Source organism: Homo sapiens, chromosome 9 (genome assembly GCF_000001405.40).
Source record: "Homo sapiens chromosome 9, GRCh38.p14 Primary Assembly".
Taxonomy (NCBI): domain Eukaryota; kingdom Metazoa; phylum Chordata; class Mammalia; order Primates; family Hominidae; genus Homo; species Homo sapiens.
Genome location: NC_000009.12, coordinates 102503364 through 102524807, shown reverse-complemented (window position 1 = coordinate 102524807; position 21444 = coordinate 102503364). Strand labels below are relative to the sequence as shown.

At 33.9% G+C, this 21444-nt stretch overlaps 2 long non-coding RNA genes and 1 pseudogene across 2 annotated transcripts in view; 1 reads left to right on the top strand and 2 right to left on the bottom strand.

Annotated features, from left to right (window-relative positions):
* The window catches only part of LINC00587 (long intergenic non-protein coding RNA 587), a 137873-nt gene extending 132702 nt beyond the window's left edge, over positions 1–5171 (bottom strand). The window contains exon 1 of the long non-coding RNA NR_103830.1: positions 5100–5171. This is a non-coding gene — a long non-coding RNA (long intergenic non-protein coding RNA 587). The remainder of the gene's footprint in view (positions 1–5099) is intronic.
* On the bottom strand, positions 7966–9644 carry CCSER2P1 (CCSER2 pseudogene 1; annotated as a pseudogene).
* LOC105376190 (uncharacterized) lies at positions 10201–21428 on the top strand. Its single transcript, XR_930191.2, has 3 exons — positions 10201–10265; positions 20906–21066; positions 21358–21428. It is a non-coding gene; the product is annotated as an uncharacterized LOC105376190 (long non-coding RNA).
* Positions 21429–21444: the final 16 nt, after the last annotated feature.

Sequence of the window (21444 nt, the reverse complement as noted above, 5' to 3'; positions counted from 1 at the left end):
ATCTACAAGGAACTCAAACAAATCAGCAAGAAGTAAATAGACAATTACATCAAAAAGTGGGCAAAGGACATGAATAGACATTTCTCAGAAGAAGATATACAAACAGACAACAAATATATGAAAAGATGCTCAACATCACTAATCAGGGAAATGCAAATTAAAACCACAATGAGATACCATCTTCTGAAAGAATGGTCATAATTAAAAAGCCAAAAAAGCAATAGATGTTGACATGGATGTGGTGAAAATGGACCACTTTTATACTGCCAGTGGGAATATAAACTAGTAAAACCACTAGGAAAAACAGTATGGAGACTCCTTAAAGAACTAAAAGTAGATCTACCATTAATTCCAGCAATCCCACTATATCTACCTAGAGGAAAAGAAATTATATGAAAAAGACACATGCACACACATGTTTATAGCAGCACAATTTGCAATTGCAAAGATATGGAGCCAAACTAAGTGCCCATCAACCAATAAATGGATAAAAAATGTGGCACATACAAACCATGTAATACTACTTAGCCATAAAAAGGAATAAAATAATGTCTGTTCAGCAACTTGGATGGAGCTGTACACTATTATTCTAACTGAAGTAATTCAGGTGTGGAAAACCAAATACCATATATTCTCACTTACAAGTGAGTGAGCTAAGGTATGAGGACACAAAGATATACAGAGCAATATAATGGACTTGGGGACTCCGGCTGGGGGAGGTTAGCAGGGAGGTATGGGATAAAAGACTACAAACTGGGTACAGTGTGCACTGCTCAGGAAGTGGGTGCGCTGAAATCTCAGAATTCACCATTAAAGAACTCATCCATGTAACTTAAACCACATGTACCCCCCAAAAAACTATTGAAATAAAAATAATAAAATCAGGAAATTGAAACTCAAGAATACCTACCAATGACATTCTGCACAGATTTAGAAAAATAATTATTTTAAAATTCATATAGAATCTAAAAGAGCCCAAATAGCCAAGGCAATCCTTAGCAAAGAAAGTTGGAGGCATCGTGTTATCCAACTTTACAGTCTACTGGAAGGCCATAATAACCAAAACAGCGTGGTACTGGTACAAAAACAGAGACATAGACTAATGGAACAAAACAGAGAGGGCAGAAATAATGCTGCACACCTACAATCATTTGATTTTTGACAAATTCAACAAAAACAATGGGGAAAGGACTCTCCTCAATAAGTGTTGTAAGGATAACTGGCTACTCATATGCAGGAGATTGAAACTAGACCCCCTCCTTACACCATATACAAAAACTCAAGATGGATTAAAAATTTTAACAAACCTAAAACTATAAACAACCAGGAAGATAATCTTGGATGTATCATTCTGGACAGAGAACCTGGCAAAAATTTCATGACAAAGATGCCAAAAGCAATTGCAAAAAACCCCAAAAAATTAACAAATGGGACCTAACTAAAGAGCTTCTGCACAGCAAAGGAAACTATCAACAGAGTAAATGACATAGAGAATGGGAGAAAATGTTTGCAAACTATGCATCCAAAAGAGGTCTGATATCCAAAACCTCTAAGGAATGTCAGCAAGTCAACAAGCAAAAAACAGACGACCCCAAAAAAGGGGGCAAAGGACATCAGCAGGCACTTCTCAAAAGAAGACATACACAGGGCCAAAAAGCATGTGAAAAAATGTTCAACATCACTAATTGTTAGATAAATGCAAATCAAAACCACGGCGAGAAACCATCTCACACCACCAAGAATGGCTAGTATTAAAAAGTCAGAAAATAACAGTTGCTGGAGTGGTTGTGGAGAAAAGGAAATGCTTATACACTGCTGGTAGGAATGTAAATTAGTTCAGCCATTGTGGAAAGCAGAACGGTGATTCCCCAAAGAACTTAAAACAGAGTTAGCATTCAACCTAGCAATTCCATTATTGGGTACATAATTCTACCATAAAGATACATGCACATGTATGTTTATTGCAGCACCATTCACAATAGCAAAAACATGGAATCAACCTAAATGCACGTGAATGGTAGACTGGATAAAGAAAATGTAATGCATATCCACCACCATATACTATGCAGCCGTAAATAGAACAAGATCATGTTTTTCGCAGTAAAATGGATGGAGCTGGAGGCCATTATCCTAAACAAACTAATGCAGGAACAAAAAAACATATACCGCATATTCTCACTTATAAGTGAGAACTAAGCAACAGGAACACATGAAAACAAAGAAGGGCACAAGGGAGATCAGAGCCTACTTGAGGGTGGAGGGTATGAGGAGGGAGAAGGTCAAAAAACTACCTATCAGCTAGTATAATTATTACCTGGGTGATGAAATAATCTGTGTACCAACCCTCATGACACACAGTTTTCCTGTATAACAAACCTGCACATGTACCCTGGAACCTAAAATGAAAGTTAAAAAAAAAAGCAAAAAGATTAAACTGTTATGTGCAGGTAGTCATTGTTTAGTGAAATAAAGTTTAATAAAATAATTCCTTAGAAATGCTTAATTATTATTTATACTGAGTTCAAACATGCTGATTAATTTAATTGTAGTGTTTTATTTTCTCCAATAGAGCATGACTCTATCAATAAGGATATTTTTTAAAAGCCTCAAGAGATGACATACAACATTTCTTTAATGTCCTGGTATTATTGGTTTGGGTAAAATGTACACTTAAAATGGAGACTAATATTTCACTGTAAATAATAAAAAATATTATTGAGTGAGACTTAATAGTAAAAAATAATACCAGTGATTAAGAAAATAAATGTATTTAAACTCATATGTAACTACTCACATGTATAAATTAAAATTAGGAGCTAAGTATTAAATAAATAATTGAGCTACTGTTGACAAATATTGCATGATAAAAGATGACTACTTTCTGTTTACTTTAATATCACAAATATGAAGATAGTGATTTTGCATTGACATCAGGAATGTATCAAATTTTCTAAGGACATAGATTAATCCCTTTGTTTATACAATTTTGTAATACATGGGCTCAGATAACTAATCCTAGGATAAATACAGGCACAATTTGATAAATTGATTCTATTCAAGTATGTTCAGTATGTTGAATAGGCTCATTTTCACTGGTTCATACTTTTACTAACTGTTGGGTGATGCTTCAGTCTCTCTGTTCTATCGTATTTTTCTCTGCCAGGTTATCTGTTAAATATCTGTACACTGTGATGAACTAGGTTTGAAGGATCTAATCTAATATAAACAGTGCCTGTCTTCTGGGACAGGGGAGCATTTAGTGTCCAAGAATCACATTTTATTGAATCTGACTGTGGTTTCTGAAAAGATGGAAAAAAGAAAACCCACTTCAGGGTTTCGAGGAAGCCATGAAAACTCATGCTAAACAGACCGAGGGTAACTTTACAGCTTTGATTAACAGGTTTTGGAATGTGTTTAAACATAGAGGTTTTACTCATAATACTCCTATAATCCTAGAGTAGCAAAGACAGAAGATGCTCTACTTATGAATACAAGCCTTTAATAGAACCAGAGTACAGTTTGTTCTTTCATGACTCATGAAACAGAGGAAATCATTTCCTCTCTTTATTCTCAGCCTTTGCCTATGTTTTGGCCTAAGACAAGCCTGTACTTTCTATAAAATAAAAAACACAATTCTATTTTTGTTTCCTCCCTTATTTTACCCCCACCATTATGCACCACAACTAAATTGACTGTGCATCTTATTCATTTTGTTTGTTTGTTTGTTCGTGACGGAGTTTCGCTCTTGTCGCCCAGGCTGGAGTAAAATGGCACGATCTTGGCTCACTGCAACCTCAGCCTCCTGAGTTCAAGTGATTCTCCTGCCTCAGCCTCCCTAGTAGCTGGGATTACAGGTGCCCGCCACCACGCCTGGCTAATTTTTGTATTTTTATTAGAGACGGGGTTTCATCATGTTGGCCAGGCTGGTCTTGAACTCCTGACCTCAAGTGAACCACCTGCCTTGGCCTCCCAAAGTGCTGGGATTACAGGCATAAGCCAACACTCCCAGCTTTATAGATGTTTGAATCTGAGCATTCAACCCAGTGCCTGGCATTCAGTAAGTATTTGATGAAGGCTTTCATTCAATTCAGTTTCTGGTGATCAGCTCAATAGGCATTTGATAAATTCTTACTGAAGCAATGTATGGTACTGTATATATACAAAATATAGATAAAACAAAGTAACTACAATTACCTAAAGATGTCTTATTTATGTTATTTTAGTTTATTTTATTAGATTTTGATGATTATCCTTGTTTTTCTGGAAATTTCATAATTGGATATTTATTAACTTGGTTCTAATTTTGTTAAGTCATATTTTTTCATTAGTAAGCAGACAACATTTAAAAGAATAGACATTACTCATGGTCTTAAGATCAAATTTTGTAATCCAATTTATTGGTAAAGTACCTGTGCCCAGTAATTATTTTGAGTAGTATTTATTTAAAATATTTTTGATGAATTATATGATGGTCTCAGTCTAAATTAAGTCTCAAAACCACATAGTGTTAAGTGTTTCAACTTCCTTATTTTGCAAAATTGTTTTCACTATATTAGGCCTTTCCAACTTTTATATGTTTTTAGAATAATCAATTTTTACAAAATTGCTACGGATATTTGATTGAGACCTTGTGTAATTATAAAAATCCTTTTGGAGAATATAGACATATTGAATATCAAATGATAAAATGATAAAATTTATGAACACAGTATGCCTCTTCATTTACTTAGTTTTTTAAATTTTACTTATGAATTCTTATTTTTTATTGCAATCTTGTATTTTTTTGTTAATTTTTTTCCTAAGTATTTTGTTTTAATAAAATTGTAAAATGTGTTTTTTATTTTTAATTGTTTGCTAATATATAATTGGATTTTTTGAACAGAGATGATAATTATCAATTGCAAATGCTAATTTTGCAACACTATAGTGTATTTGTACAAGAATATTTACTAAACTAATTCAGTGATGATCTAATTGAATTATTGATACTGAGATCTAAAATAATCTAAAACCAATTGTATTAATCCATTCTGACACTACTATCAAGAATTGCCTGAGACTGCATAATTTACAAAGACAAAACAGTTTAATTGACTCACAGTTCTGCATGGCTGGAGAGGCCTCAGAAAATTTATAATCATGGCGGAAGGGGAAGCAGGCATGTCTTATGTGGTGGCAGGCGAGAGAGAGAGTGTGTATAGTTGGAACTGTCAAACACTTATAAAAACATCAGATCTTGTGAGTACTCACTATCATGAGAACAGCATGGGGGAAACATCCCATGATCTGATTACCTCCCGCCAGGTCCCGCCCTTGACAATTGGGAATTATGGGGATTACAATTCGAGATGTGATTTGGCTGGGGAAAAGAGCCAAACCATATCTAAATATTCTAAAAAAATTAGAAATATTTTCAACAATGTCTATCTCTGTTTATTAGAACATAAACTGTATATACTACTATTATTTTGAATATATTTAATTTGAATTTGGTTTGATGTGGAACCACAGACACAGGGGACCAACTGTATGTATGTGTGTGTGTATATAACGCACATATATATGTCAAAATTATTAAATTGTACATTTTAATATGTGTAGCTTATTATATACCAGTTTTACCTCAACAAAGTATTTGTGAAATTTAAAACTTACTACAAACAAAAAACCATGAACTGTATAAAAATATTTCTGTTTACTTCCATATTACCTATTTTTTGCTACCCAGTTAAAATTTCTCAAAATTCATAAATTAAAACATTTTAATTTAGTGAAATAATTGTCTTTCTAAATTATCATTTAAGGATAGAATTTTCCACATTATGTGGCAACCTCAAAAAGCTTTAAACTATGTATCTTGCCTGAGAATTTTTACTGAAATTACCTAAACTCAAAGAATTCAAGGGATGAGAAACATTAAAGGTTAAAATCTATTTAAATAATGCAAATATTAAAATATTTATTTATTAGAAGCCTAAACTCCTTTATTCATCACAAAGTTTTTGTATACTCCTTTTAAATATATAAAGCATTGGCCAGAACACTATTTACAGACTACGAACTTCCATTAATTACCGTGTCTTTAGTTAAAATAATAGCCATATTCACAGGAGATACGAGTGAAAAGGAGTGAGGTTCTAATAACCACAATAAATAGAGATTCTAACAGGATTAAACCAGGAAAGCACACTTCTTGCCTGCTAAGCATAATATTATAAATTTTCCAAAGTACAGGGGGATAAATAACATGATTAGAGCGTTTGGCAGGCCTCCGAAATGGGTAAGCAAACATTTGTGTTTACTCGAGATAAGTACGCTCAAATGACATGTATTTGGAACCAGGATATGGAAGAGTCAAACTAGCAGAAGCTTTCACATTTTAATTTTAAAATTTCCAGGTTTTTCAATAGAGCCTGCAGTACACTAGCAAACAGCATGTAAAACTATTACAGAACAGATTGTTTTTTAAAAAACAAATTGGCAGGTTACAGCTATGTACTTAATATATCTTTGGTTTAAGAAGACTAGAATAATGATTAGAGGCCAAAGAATCCCCAAAATGTAAATTGCTATTTGGATTCTACATGTTTTATTTTATTTGTCTTAGTGGTTTTGAGTTGCTTGTTTGGCTTAGAAGTTTTGAGGCTCTAGTTGGAGCTTGTTTATTTGTTTTTGTTTGAAAGAACCTGAAGGGTGGCAGAGCTTAGATGCTTTCAGATTCCGATTAGTTGTACGATTTTTTTTTCTTACTTGATGTTGACTGAAGTTCTGCTGAATTACATGCTGTGATTATCAAAGACTTCTTACAAGCAGCAGTCCTGCTTGGAGATGATTCAGAAGCTGGAGGAGGTATCACAGAATCAAGATGGATGGTTTTAAAAGCTGCGGGGACATGAGGTGACATGTATAGCTTCTAACTCTCTTAGCCTGGTCTACTGTACTAGACTGGAGAGGTGTCTGAAGAAAAGTGGGTACAAACGGCATGTCACTAATTTTATTATTTGCCAAATGATAAGGCTCTTGAGCATTTACAGTCATGTTTAAGTTTGCTTCAGAAAATGTACTCTTAGCCACATCCATTGTTAATGTGGGTTTGACGCCAAAGGGTGGTCTTCCAAACCATAGTTGTTTTCTTGTTGCAAGTCATATGTAAAGCTTTCATCTAGATATGCGAAGCCCTGACGCATGTCTTGGATTGCACCTTTGCTGGGAACCTCCACATGTTGGGGCTATATTCATTCTCTCTTGGTGTAGTCTGTTGGTCTGGGAGGGCTGCTGGAAGGCTGTAGCACTTGAGGAGGAATTTGTCTCCAGGGCATTTTGGTATATTTATCAGTATGTGTGCATTTTTCCTATTTAGATTTTTGGTGGCTGTTATACTGAATTGCAAGCTGAAGTTCTCTAATTGTTGGATCTTTTCATCTTTTGTCTTTATTTTCTCTTTAAGTTGTTTTATTTCATTTAATAAATCTTCATTCTCATATATTTCATCACCATCTTCTGGTTCTTGTACTTGATGGCAATGATAGTTGAATATCATGCCAGGAACCATGTCCTTCATGCTGATGCAGGAGATGTTTCAGTTTGAGTAACTGAGTTTTTACAAAGCTCCAATCTTGAACCATGTGCTGGAGGGTCATCTCATCCAGCATCACTGCATTTTCTGGTACATCTACAAACATTTTCTGAACCTGGAAAAGGGGTGTCTCTCCATAGCTTTCAAAATGACCCAAAGAAGATTCACTATAGGGAGAGCCTCTGCTCAAATTACTTTATCCGTGGTAATCACAGTGGTTAGGATGACTGACGTGGTAGCGTTCCTGTCTACTCAATTTCTAGGGTGGCCTTTTCCAAAATTCTTCCTGAGGCTGTTGAACACTTCTGTCTGGTCAGTCAAAGCAGTTCATATTTTCATGCTCCACATTTTCAAGATGTGTATCATAAGGCCATCATCCTCAAATTCACATGATTCAAGATTATTCAAAATATCTATGTTGTTCATTTCATAGGGCTCGTAACTCCCAATTGGATAGACATTTCCAGTGGGTTCCAAGCCCTCTTCATTCCACATGTATGTTCCATTATAGCTATCAGATGGAGAGTCCAAATGAAGAACCAGCTCTGAAATCTGTGTCTGGTAAAATCAAATTATTCCCAGAAGTATGTTTCATATATTCACTCATATTAGAGACATTTATATCTATTTATCAGTTTCACTGCAAGATTTTTTCATTTTCCTTGAGAGAATCAGATATATTCTGGGGTGTTACCTTTTCATATTTTTCTTCTTTGAGAGAAATTTCCTCTAGAGTTATTCTAGTTCTGTTGAAGTCTTTTACACCTATTAAATATTCTCTGAAGTCTTCACTTAAATCATTCTTATCAGAAGATGACAGAGGAGACAAGGAAATATTATCCACATCATCACTCAGCTATCTATTTTAGCATCATGGTTCATGGTCTCATCATTTTCTGTCCTATAACTTTCATTTTCAGTTAATTCTTGGTCCTCATTAGTAGCTTTATCCTTAGCCAAAACTGTAGCATCATCTTCTACAAATATGTCAGCAGGGGAATTTTTATTTCCATTAATTGTGATCCATCAAAGTCCCAGAAACTTGAGGCCAGCTCGATTTCAGTAGAGAGAGATGAACCATCCAATAACCTAAAGTGAAGGTTGCACCTGGGCCATTGTAAAGCCAATTTCTTTCCACCAGCAGCATAAGACCTAATAAATCCTTATCCCAAATGTTCACTCTAATTTCATACTTCTTACTGCTGATAGTTTCTTGTTAGCATACATGAGTGCAGAGGTACTCTAATGGATAGGTGTTAGTACTTAAAAGACTGTACTGTTAGTACTTATAAGATCTATAGCTCTATTGAAGGAGTGTGATCTGGTTATAGATGAAGGTGCAAGAAATGAACTCTGAATGGAATGTGAACAGTTGTGTGACCTTACCATTTTTTTCACCAGTAATATGCATAATATTGTCTGAGGATTCAGCTAAGCTTTCTCTAGAACTACTTCTAGTAGCACAAGAATTTGCTCTAGGTCTTTGCATGCTATTGAAACTCAGTGGGTTTCTATAAAATCCATTCAATAGTGATTTTGGAGCACTGACTGAAGAGTATGACGTCCTTCCTAATAATGTGCCTTTGATGAATTTACCCAAATTAGATGGTCCAGAAAAAGTCCTTTGGTTTAACTCCTTTGCAGATGACACACAGTGGATGGCTTTGCTAACTTTGATGTGAATAAAGAAACACTTTTCAAATCTCCCTTTATCCTGTTTTTATCAAACATTACTTAAATAGGAACATGTTTTTCAAGATCAATTAATTAATAGTGAATTTTGAGTCTTGTTAGGCTCTTCAGTACCTTCTGTACTAAGTTGGTATTTATTTGCTTTTCTCCAATTAAATGAATGGGTGATGGACAATCAGAGGCATTGTTTATTATGTAACTTTTGATGTTACTACTCTTAGAAGTTCCTAATATATTAACAGGTGTCCCATTTGACATTGGCTGCACTGTGCTTCCGAGAGATTTTGTTCATAACTTGGAATCCAAAAATGCCTTGATCAGTGTTTTTCCATCCATGAGCTATGAGGTGCGTTTTTTCTTAGAATTTAACATAATCTATAGGAGTGAAACACCAACATTCCAATCTAAGATCACAAAGAATCTGTGCATCAGTAATTTCCACACTGCTAAGCTGTAGTCTGGAAACAGCAACCCTAGCTGGACGAGTAGCCTACCAACATGAATTTGCATTTAGTGAAATAGAAACTCAAGCTTAAACAGGAAGGACCGCCTCAAAGGAGTCATTCCTTTTTTAATTTGTCAAGAAAGTAGGTGCATTTAAATACTCATGCGTGTGTACACGCACACACGCACACAGAGATATACACACATATATCTACATACATAGATATATAAAAGAGAAGGAGATTTGAATCCACAGCAACTGTGTGATCCACCAGTTTTATCTCAGGATGTTTCTAGAATGTGTCTTTGTTTTGGCCGGTGCGAGGTGGTGCTGCCTCCTTGGCTGCAGCCCAGCTGCAGGTTGCCTAGCTACCTGCTATTGTTGACTATCATGTTCGGGAGAACATTTGTTCCCGAATTATCATAATGTGATCATAATATGATCTCAATCACAATGTGATCGAGAATAAATGCCAGGAGAACACAGGATTCCATTCTGTTTTTGGTCCGATGCATGTCTTAAGCCTTTTGTCAGATTGATTTCTTTTACAAAGTAAGATTAAGTTAGAGGAATCTTAAGTATGTTTGAATTCAGATTCATGCACTTCATAGCCCTGTAAACTGTTTTTTAGGACTGCTATAACAAGGTGCCACAAGCGGAGTACCTTCAAATAAATGTATTGCCTCATAGTTCTGGAGGCTAAAATTTCAAAAGCAAAGTGTTGGCAAGGTTTGTTCCTTCTGGTGGCAAGGAGGGGGATGTTTTCCGTGCCTCTCTCCTAGTTTCAGGAAGTTGTCGACAATTTTTGGCATTCCTTGGCTGATAGACGCATCATGCCAACCTGTGTCTCTATTACCACAATAGGGTTGTGTTCTCCTCCTGTGTCTATCTGCCTCCAAATTTTCCTCTTCTTATAAGGACAGAAGTCATTAGATTAGGGCTCACCCCAATCCCTCATTGTCTCATTTTAACCTTATTTCATCGGCAAAGAACCTATTTCCCAATAAAGTCACATTCACAGGTACCAAGGGTTAGGTCTTAGACATAGCTTTTTGGAGACACCATTCAGCACATAACACCTGATTTACTTAGCCTCGTTGTACCTCAGGTTTCATGTGTACAGAATTGGGTTAATGATAAAACCTACTCCTTATGGTTGTAAGGAACAAAAGTATATTAGTGTAATCTTCTAGATTTAGTCTCACATATATTAACCTATAATTAACATTAATTTATTTTTCTTCCACTTTCAACTCCAACCCGTCGGTTTACTTTTTATCTCCTTTTGGATTCCCTAGGAACATAATCTCCTGATATCCCGTTCTATTATTTTATTATATAAACAATCAATGTATTCTTTATACCCAACCAAAATTTCTTGAAGCTTAGATAACCTCTTTGTATAGGTAGAATTGCTTTCAGTGAGTATGAGGTACATCAATGTTATCATGGAGTATCACATTCAAATTGATAAATATTGTCTAGCTAATTGTTTAAATTTGTGTAAATGGAATATTTATGATGTATTAGATTTTAAAATAATGCAAACATGGTTGGGTATGTATGATTATGTTGAGTGAAAGGATATGTGTATCATCTGAACCAAGAAGCATCTCTTCTTTTCCATTGTAATTTGATTCTGATTGGAGTACTTCATAAATACAATTCTAATTTTCATTTTGCAGTCCTTGAGAATTTAATAATTTGTTGCAAGTATATTGCTAATAGTTTTAGTTTTGCAATGTGTTCAACTTAGAGCATATTATGTAAGAATCAATTGCTTGTTTTTTAACTTCTAATTTTGAAATAATTTTAAATCTTTAAAAATGTTATTAAAAAGTAGAACTTAAAGTATAATAAAAAAAGAAAAAAGTAAAGCTTCAGCACAAATAGTAGTAAACGAAATAATTGGAAAAACAGTGTTAAGCCCTTTTTAATTATTTAAATTAATTAAATCAGACTTTCTGCTAAAAAAAAAAAGTTATGAAAAGAATAGAGTGCTTACATGTAGGCTTCACCTGGCTTTCTCTGACATTAACCTCTTCATGACTACTGCAATAGTCACAACTAAGAAATTAATGTTGGCACAGTACTATTAAGTAATTATGCAATTAGCTCGGATACCACCAGCTTTTCTTTTACAGTATTGTGTGTCTGTCCTAGGATCCAATTCAGAATTCCTCATAGGATTTATTCATGTCACTTCAGTGTCCTCCAAATCACGGTTCCTCAAGCCTTTTCTTGTTTTTCATGACTTTGCTATTTCTTAATACTAGTAATTTTTTTGTTAAATATCTGTGAATTTTGGTTTATCTGATGTTTTCTCATTAAACTGAGATCATGCACTTTTGACAAAAATGCTGTAGAAGTGATATACCCAATGTAGTGTATCATGTCAGGAATTATGATTTTCATGTTTTATTATTGGTGATATAAATATTATTTAGGATGGTGTCTACCAGCATTCTCTACCATAAAGGTACCACGGTTTCCTTTAGAATTAATAAATATTTTGTGAAGATACTTGGAGACGTTGTAAATATCCTCTCTGTTCATCAATGGATTTTGCCTGCAGTGATTATTGTTGTGATTTTCTAATGATGACTTTCTTTTCCCTAATTCCTTCTACATTTATTAATTGTACATACTTTTCAGGGAGGAGCTATCCCTTCTCCTTCATTTATTTACATATTCAGTTATTCATTTATATCCATATGTGCATATTTCAAAATCTGAGTTAGTATGTGGAGTGACAGAGGTCATAAGGTTACTGATTTCAGTTTATATTGTTACTGGAAACAAACATCAAAACAAAAAATATGTGCAGTAGAAATAATATGAATCTTTTAAGGAGCATCTTTAATGAGCTAGATGTGATAAATTAAACCTTAAATAATTCATTTAATGATATTAGTTACACACAATAAAGTTACACTTAAAAAGATGCCTTTATTTTAATGTATTTCATTAAATCCAAGAGGTTTATTGCTGAGCTCTCTGGAAAATGATTAATAGAGGGCTCATCTTAAGGAATAAAAGAGATATCTTCTTATAATTAAATCTTGCAGAGTGTGGAGGAGAGAGGGACGTATCAAGCTTTTACACTCTTCCATAGAACCTACTTCACCCAGTGAGTAGATTAGATACAGTGAGGTCAAAAGAAATATTGGGGAATATATGACCCACTAGAAACTGCTTACTATGGAGCCCTTGCTCTCAATATGTTACCTGAAACTTCAGAAATCAGACCCTTCTAGAGGCTCTCAGTTAATTCTTGATTTATCTCTGTTTCCACTAGTACTAATTTGATCTTTGAAATGGAAAGTATTGAAAGTATTACAATGTTCAGGGCCTTCATAGATGTATTCAAAATAATGAAATACTAAGAAAAAATGATTAAATTATTTGATATCTTCCTAGTTAGAATGAAAGTCAAATTGTATAATAGTAACATAAAGGTAATACTTTACGTTTGCCAAGGCAATCTCAGATTTTCTAATGAACAATGCCATGAAGGATACATGATAATCTTACACTAATGTACTATTACAATACTTAGAAAATCTTTTATGGTTATTCTAAAATTATTTTCAGAGTAAAAATTTTATAAAGTAGAAAACTGGTTTCTATTGTCTGAACAATCATGACAAACTCATTCTAGGAATTGCAACTCTAAATTGTCTGATAAAGTGGTTTATCATTATTATTACATGTTACTAAGTGGACACAATTTTGAGATATTCTACAATCTTTTAGTCCAACATGTTTTGTTTTTAATTCATTTTAAAAATTTTAGGGTATTTTTGGATTTACACGAAAAATGCAGAGATATTACAGAGAGTTCCCATATACCCTTACCCAGTTTCCGCTATTGTTAACATATTACATTGCTATGGTTCATTGTCACCACTAAGGAATCAAGATTAATATAATGTATTATTAATTAAATCACAGTTTATTCAGATTTCACTAGTTTTTACCCAGTATCTTTTTTCTGTTCCATGATCTCATCCACGATCCCACATTATATTTAGTTATTATGTCTCTTTAATATCCTTTGTTTCATGACAGTTTCTTAGGCTTCACTTGCTTTTGATGACCTTGAGAGTTTTAAGGGATATGGTTTAGACAGTTTGGAGAATGGTCCTCAGGTTGACTGTCTTATTTTTTTAATGGTTAAACTAGGGTTATGAGTTATTTGGAGGATGACTACAGAGGTGAAGTACCATTCTTATCACATTATATCAGGGGTAAATGTTACCAACGTGACTATGAACATGAAGATATTAACCTTGGTTATCTGTTTGAGATAGTGTTCATTTGCCTGTACTTTGATTGGGACTTTATCAATTCAACACATAGATTTGGAAATAACTGACATCTTAATAATCTTGGGTCTTCCAATCCATGAAAATGACAACCCCTTTAATTTATTTGGCCCTTTAATTTTTCTCAGTTCTAGTTTGGAGTTTTCAATGTAGAGATACTGAACATTAAATATATTCATAGAAATTCGATTTTTATGCTGTTGTAAATAATATGTAAGAATTAATTTTCTAATCATTTGTAGCAAGTGCATAGAATAAAACCGTTTTTGTATATTCACTTTGTATTCAATGACCTTGCTAAATTGACTTGTTAGTAAAAATATATTAATACCTGGTAGACTATTGAGATTGAGAACATTTTTATTCATATTTTTGCTTATTGAATACCTTCTTTGAAAAAATTGCTGAGATATGATTGACATACAAAAAGCTGTACATATTTAATGTATACAAATGATGACTTTAGAAATAAGTATACATCTGTGAAATTATCACCACAATCAATTTCACGAATGTATCTATCATTTCCAAAAATTTCCTCCCCCTCTCTTTTTTATTATTTTTGTGATAAGAATACAACATAAGATTTAATCTCTTACCAAATGTTTAAGTATATGATACAGTACTGTTAAATATAGGGACTATTATCTACAGTAGATTTCTAGGATTTATTCACCTTGTGTAATTGAAGTTTTGCACTTTTTGATCAACACCTACCTGTTTTCCCCTCCCCTCAGCTTCTTGCACCTGCTATTTTGCTCTCTGTTTCTATGGGTTTGACTGTTTTAGATTCCACATGTAAGTAGAATCATGTAGTAATTGTCCTTCTTATCCTGACTTTCTTCAGTTGTAAAATGTCATTCAGATTCATCCATATTGTCACAAATGATAGTATTTCTGTCTTTTAAAGAATTGAATAATGTGCCATTTATGTAAATAGCACATTTTCTTTTCCCTTTCATCCATCAATGGACATTTAGGTTGCTTCCATATTTTGGCTATTGTATATAATACTGCAGTGAACATAGGAGCAGGTATCTCTTCAAGATATGTATCTTCAAGATGAAATTAAATCTTTTATATATATATATACACACACACACACACATATATACATATATATATATATATATATATATATATATATATATATATATATATATATATATATATCTCCAGAAGTAGCATCTCTGGATCATATAGTAGCTCTATTTTCAATTTTTTGAATACTCTCCATACTGTTTCCATAGTGGCTGAACCAATTTACACTTCCACAAACAGTGTGCGAGGATTTCCTTTATATCCTCAGCAACATTTTTTTACAATAGTTATCTTAACAGCTATGATTTGATATCTCACTGTGGTTTTGATTTAAACTTTCCTGATGATTAGTAATGTGGAAACCCTTTTTACATACCTGTTGGTCATTCGTATGCTTTCCTTAGAGAAGCATCTATTGAAATTCTTTACCTAGTTTTAAATTGTGATTATTTTTGCTACTCAGTTATAGGAGTCCCTTTTGTATTTTAGATATTAACTCCTTTTTTGGCTTGCAAATATTTTCTCTTATTTCATAGGTTGTCTCTTTACTCTGTTGATTCCTTTGCTGTGCAAAAGCATTTTGGTTTCATGTAATTACACAGGCATTTTTGCTGTAATTGCCTGTGCTTTTGTTATCATGTTCAAGAAACTGTTGCAAAGGCTAATGTAGAGTAGCATTTTTCCCATGTTTTCTTCTAGGAATTTTACAATTTTATGTCTTACATTTAAGTTTTTAATCCATATTCGAGTTGATTTTTTGTGTATGGTATAAGTGTCCAATTTCACCCTTTTGCCTGTAGGCATTCAGTTTTCTCCACCAGTGTTTGTTGATGAGACTATTCTTTCCCCATTGTGTATTCTTGGCTTCCTAGTAGAAGGTAAGTTGACTGTATATGCAAGAGTTTATTTCTGGGCTCTCTATTCTGTTTCATTGGACTATATATCTGCCAATTTAAATATAAATATGTACTTTTTCATAAATATTTTGTAATTACCAGTACAGCATTCTGTGCATGTTTTTTTTTCCTGTGGGGGTAATTTTGTAAAAGAATACTCTGTACACACACACACACACACACACACACACACACACAGAAATGGATATTGTGTTTCTTCCTTAGTCAGTGTTATTATTTTGATGTCTCTAGGAACCATAGTGGTATTCTCTCTCTCATTCCAAATATTGTCAGTTTTTAGTTTTTCTCTATTCTCTCGATGAGTCTTGATGTAGACTTATCAAGTTTAATATCTTTTTACCAATAACTAAATCCTGACATTTCAAATTTTTGTTGCCTTTTACTATTTCATTGATTTCTTATGTCTATTACGTTATTTCTTCTACTTACTTTGCATATTTTGGCCATCTTTTCTAGTGTCTTGCAGTTGAAACATAAATCACTGTTATTAAACATATCTCTTTTCTTATACAAGCTTTTAAATCTAATATTCTCTCATAGTTCTGCTGTAACTGAATTTTACCATTATTAATATGTTAAATTTTCTTGTCACTTAATTTAAAATATTTTCTTATTTCCCTTTACATTTTTTTTGTCTTACAGGTTATTTAGAAGTTGTTTTTATTTTTTTAATTCTCGAATATTGGAGATTTTTTAGCTCTCCTAATGCTATTGACACCTAACTTATCTCCATTGTAGTCATACATCAGGCTACATAATTTCAATTTTTGGAAATATGTGGAAATTTATTTTATGATTTGGTCAATATTGGTTAATATTACTTATCATGTGAAAAGAATATGTATTTTAAAGTTGTTGGTTTAAGTTCTATAAATATTCACTCACGCAAAGTTGATTTATAGAACTGTTGACATCTTCTATATCCTTCTTGATTCTTCTGGACTACCTTTAAAATTACTAAAGGAAATCAATATGTTTTATACTCTGTTTCCATAGATATATGTAATTGTTTTAGCTGACAGGTTTATTTTTGTCCAAAACTTGTCTGCATGTCTGATAATTAAAAGTTTGTGTAAGGAGTTCAGCTCAGAAATTTGTTTTTTCTCTAATTTTGTATAACTTTAATCCAAACTCTAATCTATTCAGGGATTCATGATGTATACAAGATTACAGAAAAATGTTTTGAAGTCTGAATTTACAAAGAACTTTTCTCCTTCGTAAAGAATTTATTTTGGTTCTACTTTCATGTTTAGAGATTGGTGTCAATAGAGGAACTAAATCAGATATGACTGTTTAAGAGTAAGTGTTGCTGGAGGTCTGAGGCTACATTGATATGACTGCTCAAACACATTTTCCTGCCCTGGAAAACATTAGTATTGTAGCCACATATGTGGCTAATATAAAATTGGTTTGTGTAGTCTGGGTTTAGTGTGTTTACTTCTGTTTCCTCTCATACCCAAAAGTCTTTTTCTCTTAAGGTCTAAAACAGAAAGGCAATGTAGTTTTGAAGTGTGTTGCCATAAATATGCACTTTCTATATGTCTAGTCTTGTTTATACAATCCTCACAACAACCTTATTGGGTGGATAAACAATTCTGCAGTTGCAATTGAGAAACGAAAGCTCACAAATGTTAAGTAACTTACCTCAATTCCCACAGCTAATTCTAGAAGTCATTTATTTGTGCATCACCAGAGTTTTTTGGATGATGGTGAAAAGAAAATTTGAAAAATAAGTTACTCTTGATGATGTCTTGGCTAATTGAATAAAAAGCCACAAATATTTTTGAACTTAAGGGAAATTGAAAATGCCTAAAAGACAGAGAAAAGCTTCTATTTCTTTCTGAATATTTTAGGTTCACATTATTCTGAACACAGATCAAGTCACAGCTTCTAACTCTTTAATTAGTATGTGTGAGTGCACACACATGCAGGTTTGTGTATGTGGTTGGTTGAGTTTGGACTGATATTATTTCAAAGGAACATATTCTTTGAACCTTAAAAGAAACAACAGCAAATATTTCAGAAGAAACCCTTCAGTTTTTTTATGTGGCTAATGCTCTGTGATAATAATAAGAATCATCTGCCAGCACCAAATAAAAGTAACTACAACTTTTCAGACCAGAAGTCAGAAAATAAGCAAAACATGGGAAATCCTTCTCTTTGTTAAAAGAAGGATCATGCTCGGTTGCATTTCCCCATCAACCCCTTTGCAAGAGAGCTGGCTAGCTTCAGTTTTATTAGTACCATTAATAACCATGGCATGTCAGACAGGCTCTCAGCTATAGGCTAATCTCCTGGGTGACTGGATACCTATATTTTTAGAAAGCTGTGAATGCTGCTTTAATTATTTAGAAGTTAGTTGGCTCACATAAATCTATTACACTTGCACAAAGCTTCAACATTTGTTCCTAAGTGTATCTTAATGTCAAATTTATTCATCAATGCTTGAATTACTCTAATCAAGAATTTGTTCAGTAAAAATTTCTATCCTAAAAAAGTAGATTATTTTCTCTTGTTAAGTGCCATTAAAAATCAGGAATAAAATGTTATTCTCAGCAGCTAAGCACTAATTTTAACCTCATCTGATATTATCTACTGTCACATATTAATAGAAAATATTAAAATTCTGTATTCTAATTCTGTGCATCTATAGAATTGATCAAATTGTATATTTTCAAATATGCCAAATATTGTAACTTCCATGTTCCAAAGACAAATGTGATCAATGTCTCATGTATATATGTATAGTTATAATCTTAGCATTCTTTTAGAATGCTGCAATAATTCTGGGGAAATTAAAGGTATTTATGAAAATAGCAACTGCTAAATTAAGTAGCTATTGAATGGTTACAATTGATCCATCAGCAATTATTTAGTAAATAACTAAAATTAAGAACACGACGTGTTTTTTTGAAATTATATTACATTGAAATGTCACATTAAGTTATTCTTTCATTTATATGTGTGATAGTTTTAGACCATGATGTGGGTCTTGCAGCTTTGCTTATTCCAGTCCTAGACTTATGAGGTACACCAGATGTTGTGGAAATATAAGGACCCATCCCCACTGTGCCTTTTTCTGAATTATCTAATCCACAGTGGTTTTAAGTATAACATGATTTTGTTTTATAATATGTAGACTTAGAGCCTTTAAAAATTTATTCAGCAACATGTAACTGGAATTTCATGCCTTTTCATTTTGCCATTTTTCTCTATTTCTACTTCTAGTGATTTTTTTCTGGACATAAAGAAAATGTGGTACTTATACACAATGGAGTACTATTCAGCCATAAAAAAGAATGAGATCCTGTCATTTGCAACAACATAACTTCGGTTTTAAATAAATGTCTATAGTCTGTCTAGAGTCTAGAGGTCTCCATGCATTTAGAGTTAGTCTTTAGGGATATATTATCCATAATGCTCTGTGAAGGTGAATTTTCTAAAACCAAAGGTGGATCAAACCAAGCCCCTTATTAAATTCTTTCAAGGACTCCCCATTGTTCAAGAGATCTATTATAGAACGTGGTGATTACAGTTAATAATAGAGTGTATTCTTGAAAAATGCAGTGAGAGTGGATGTAAAGAGCTCTCATGACAAAAATGATAACTATGTGAGGTCATGCATATGTTGATTGGCTAGATTTCGTCATTCCACAATGTATAAATGCTTCAAAACAACTTTTACATGGTAAATACAATGTTGTCCATTTAAAAGAATAAAAATGAGTAAATGTTACAAATTTATAAAAATAAAAATTAAAAAATAGGCCTGGCGCAGTGGCTCATGCCCGTAATCCAAACACTTTGGGAGGCCGAGGTGGGCTGATCACCAGGTCAGGAGATCGAGACCATCCTGGCTAACATGGTGAAACCCTGTCTCTACTAAAAATACAAAAAAATTAGCTGGGCATGGTGGTGGGTGCCTGTAGTCCCAGCTATTCGGCAGGCTGAGGCTGGAGAATGGCGTGAACCCGGGAGGTGGAGCTTGCAGTGAGCCGAGATGGCGCCACTGCACTCCAGCCTGGGCGACAGAGAGACTCCGTCTCAGTAAATAAATAAATAAAAGAAAAAAATTTTAAAAATAGATACCATCCTCTACAGAGAATTGACAGCATCGGGGATTGGGGTTATTAGATAATGTCCAAGTATATGCAGATTTTCTGAAGATTTTCTTTCTTAGAAGGGATAAAAGATGAAGTTCCAGCTACCTTCAAAAATATACCCCACAACAAAGCCTTGCTTAATATAGCAAGTAGCCTGAGGAGCCTGGCTTCCTTGGTTCAAACCTGAGTATGTTGGCTCCAGACAGAAGTTCCCTAGAAGGCAAATAAGTCAGACAGACCGACCAATCACTGAATCTGACCAATCACTGAATCTGACAGCTTTACTATGATGACTCTCATGATTTCTAGTATATGTATCCCTGCCAGCATTACTCTGGCCTTCAGAGTCTATTTGATGTGTGAAGCTGCATTTTCCCCTTACCTTCACCTAGACAGGAGGGATAGACTCAGGAATTCCACCTAATACTCCTTTTGGCCCTGGATATCCTCCTTGAACTGACTTTCTGTGTCTGCTGGAAAACTCGGCCTAAGTCCCGCTTAATATGTGGGGATCACACTAAATTCCTGTATGTGCCCAGAAGCTTCAGGATCCCTACAGTCCATCCTATCAGCTTTTAACTGTATAGATATATACAGTTATATATAGCTTTATATATATACAGTTATGTATAGCTTTATATATATACAGTTATATATAGATATACAGCTTTACCCTCACCTGGACCCTGGGTTAGCCTGATGGCTGGTACTGATTTAACTATTCGTAGTGGGTCTTTTTGCCCCTCACCCTCTTCTTCCCCAACAGACTGAAAACATTAAAATAATTTCCTTATCTTTTCAAGGGAGCTACCTGTGCTCTTCCTGTTCGCACTCAGCACTAAGAAACTCTCAGAACCACACTGAATCTGTACTTGTGATGAGCTTCAGAGATCCTAGAATCCAAGCCGTCTGGGGATAGTGTTGATGGACAGGCCTGGGGCTGAGACTGAGGTTCTATGTCCAGGTGAATATTTTGTGTCATCAGGAAACTGCTCTTTAAAGCATGGCAGTCCTATATCTTGGACAGTCAGCATGCTAGTGGTATAAGTAATTCCTTGCTTACTGAAGCCACAGACCATGCAGATCCCCATCTACCTTATTGGGATTTGACAGGTCATTAGTTCATACATGTCTTCCCACTGCTGTTGAAGAGCAGGAGACTCTTTGGAGTTGATTCTTTGTCCCCTTATTATCTCTTTGGCCCTGAAATTAATAAATGTATGACTAACCTTTTTTTTTGTTTTTCTTTTCGTAGAGAAGAAACTCGGATGTTCTTGGAGACATGGCTGCCCTGGAATTTGGTAAACTCACATCCTTTGAGGCAAGGTGAGGATATCTCTTA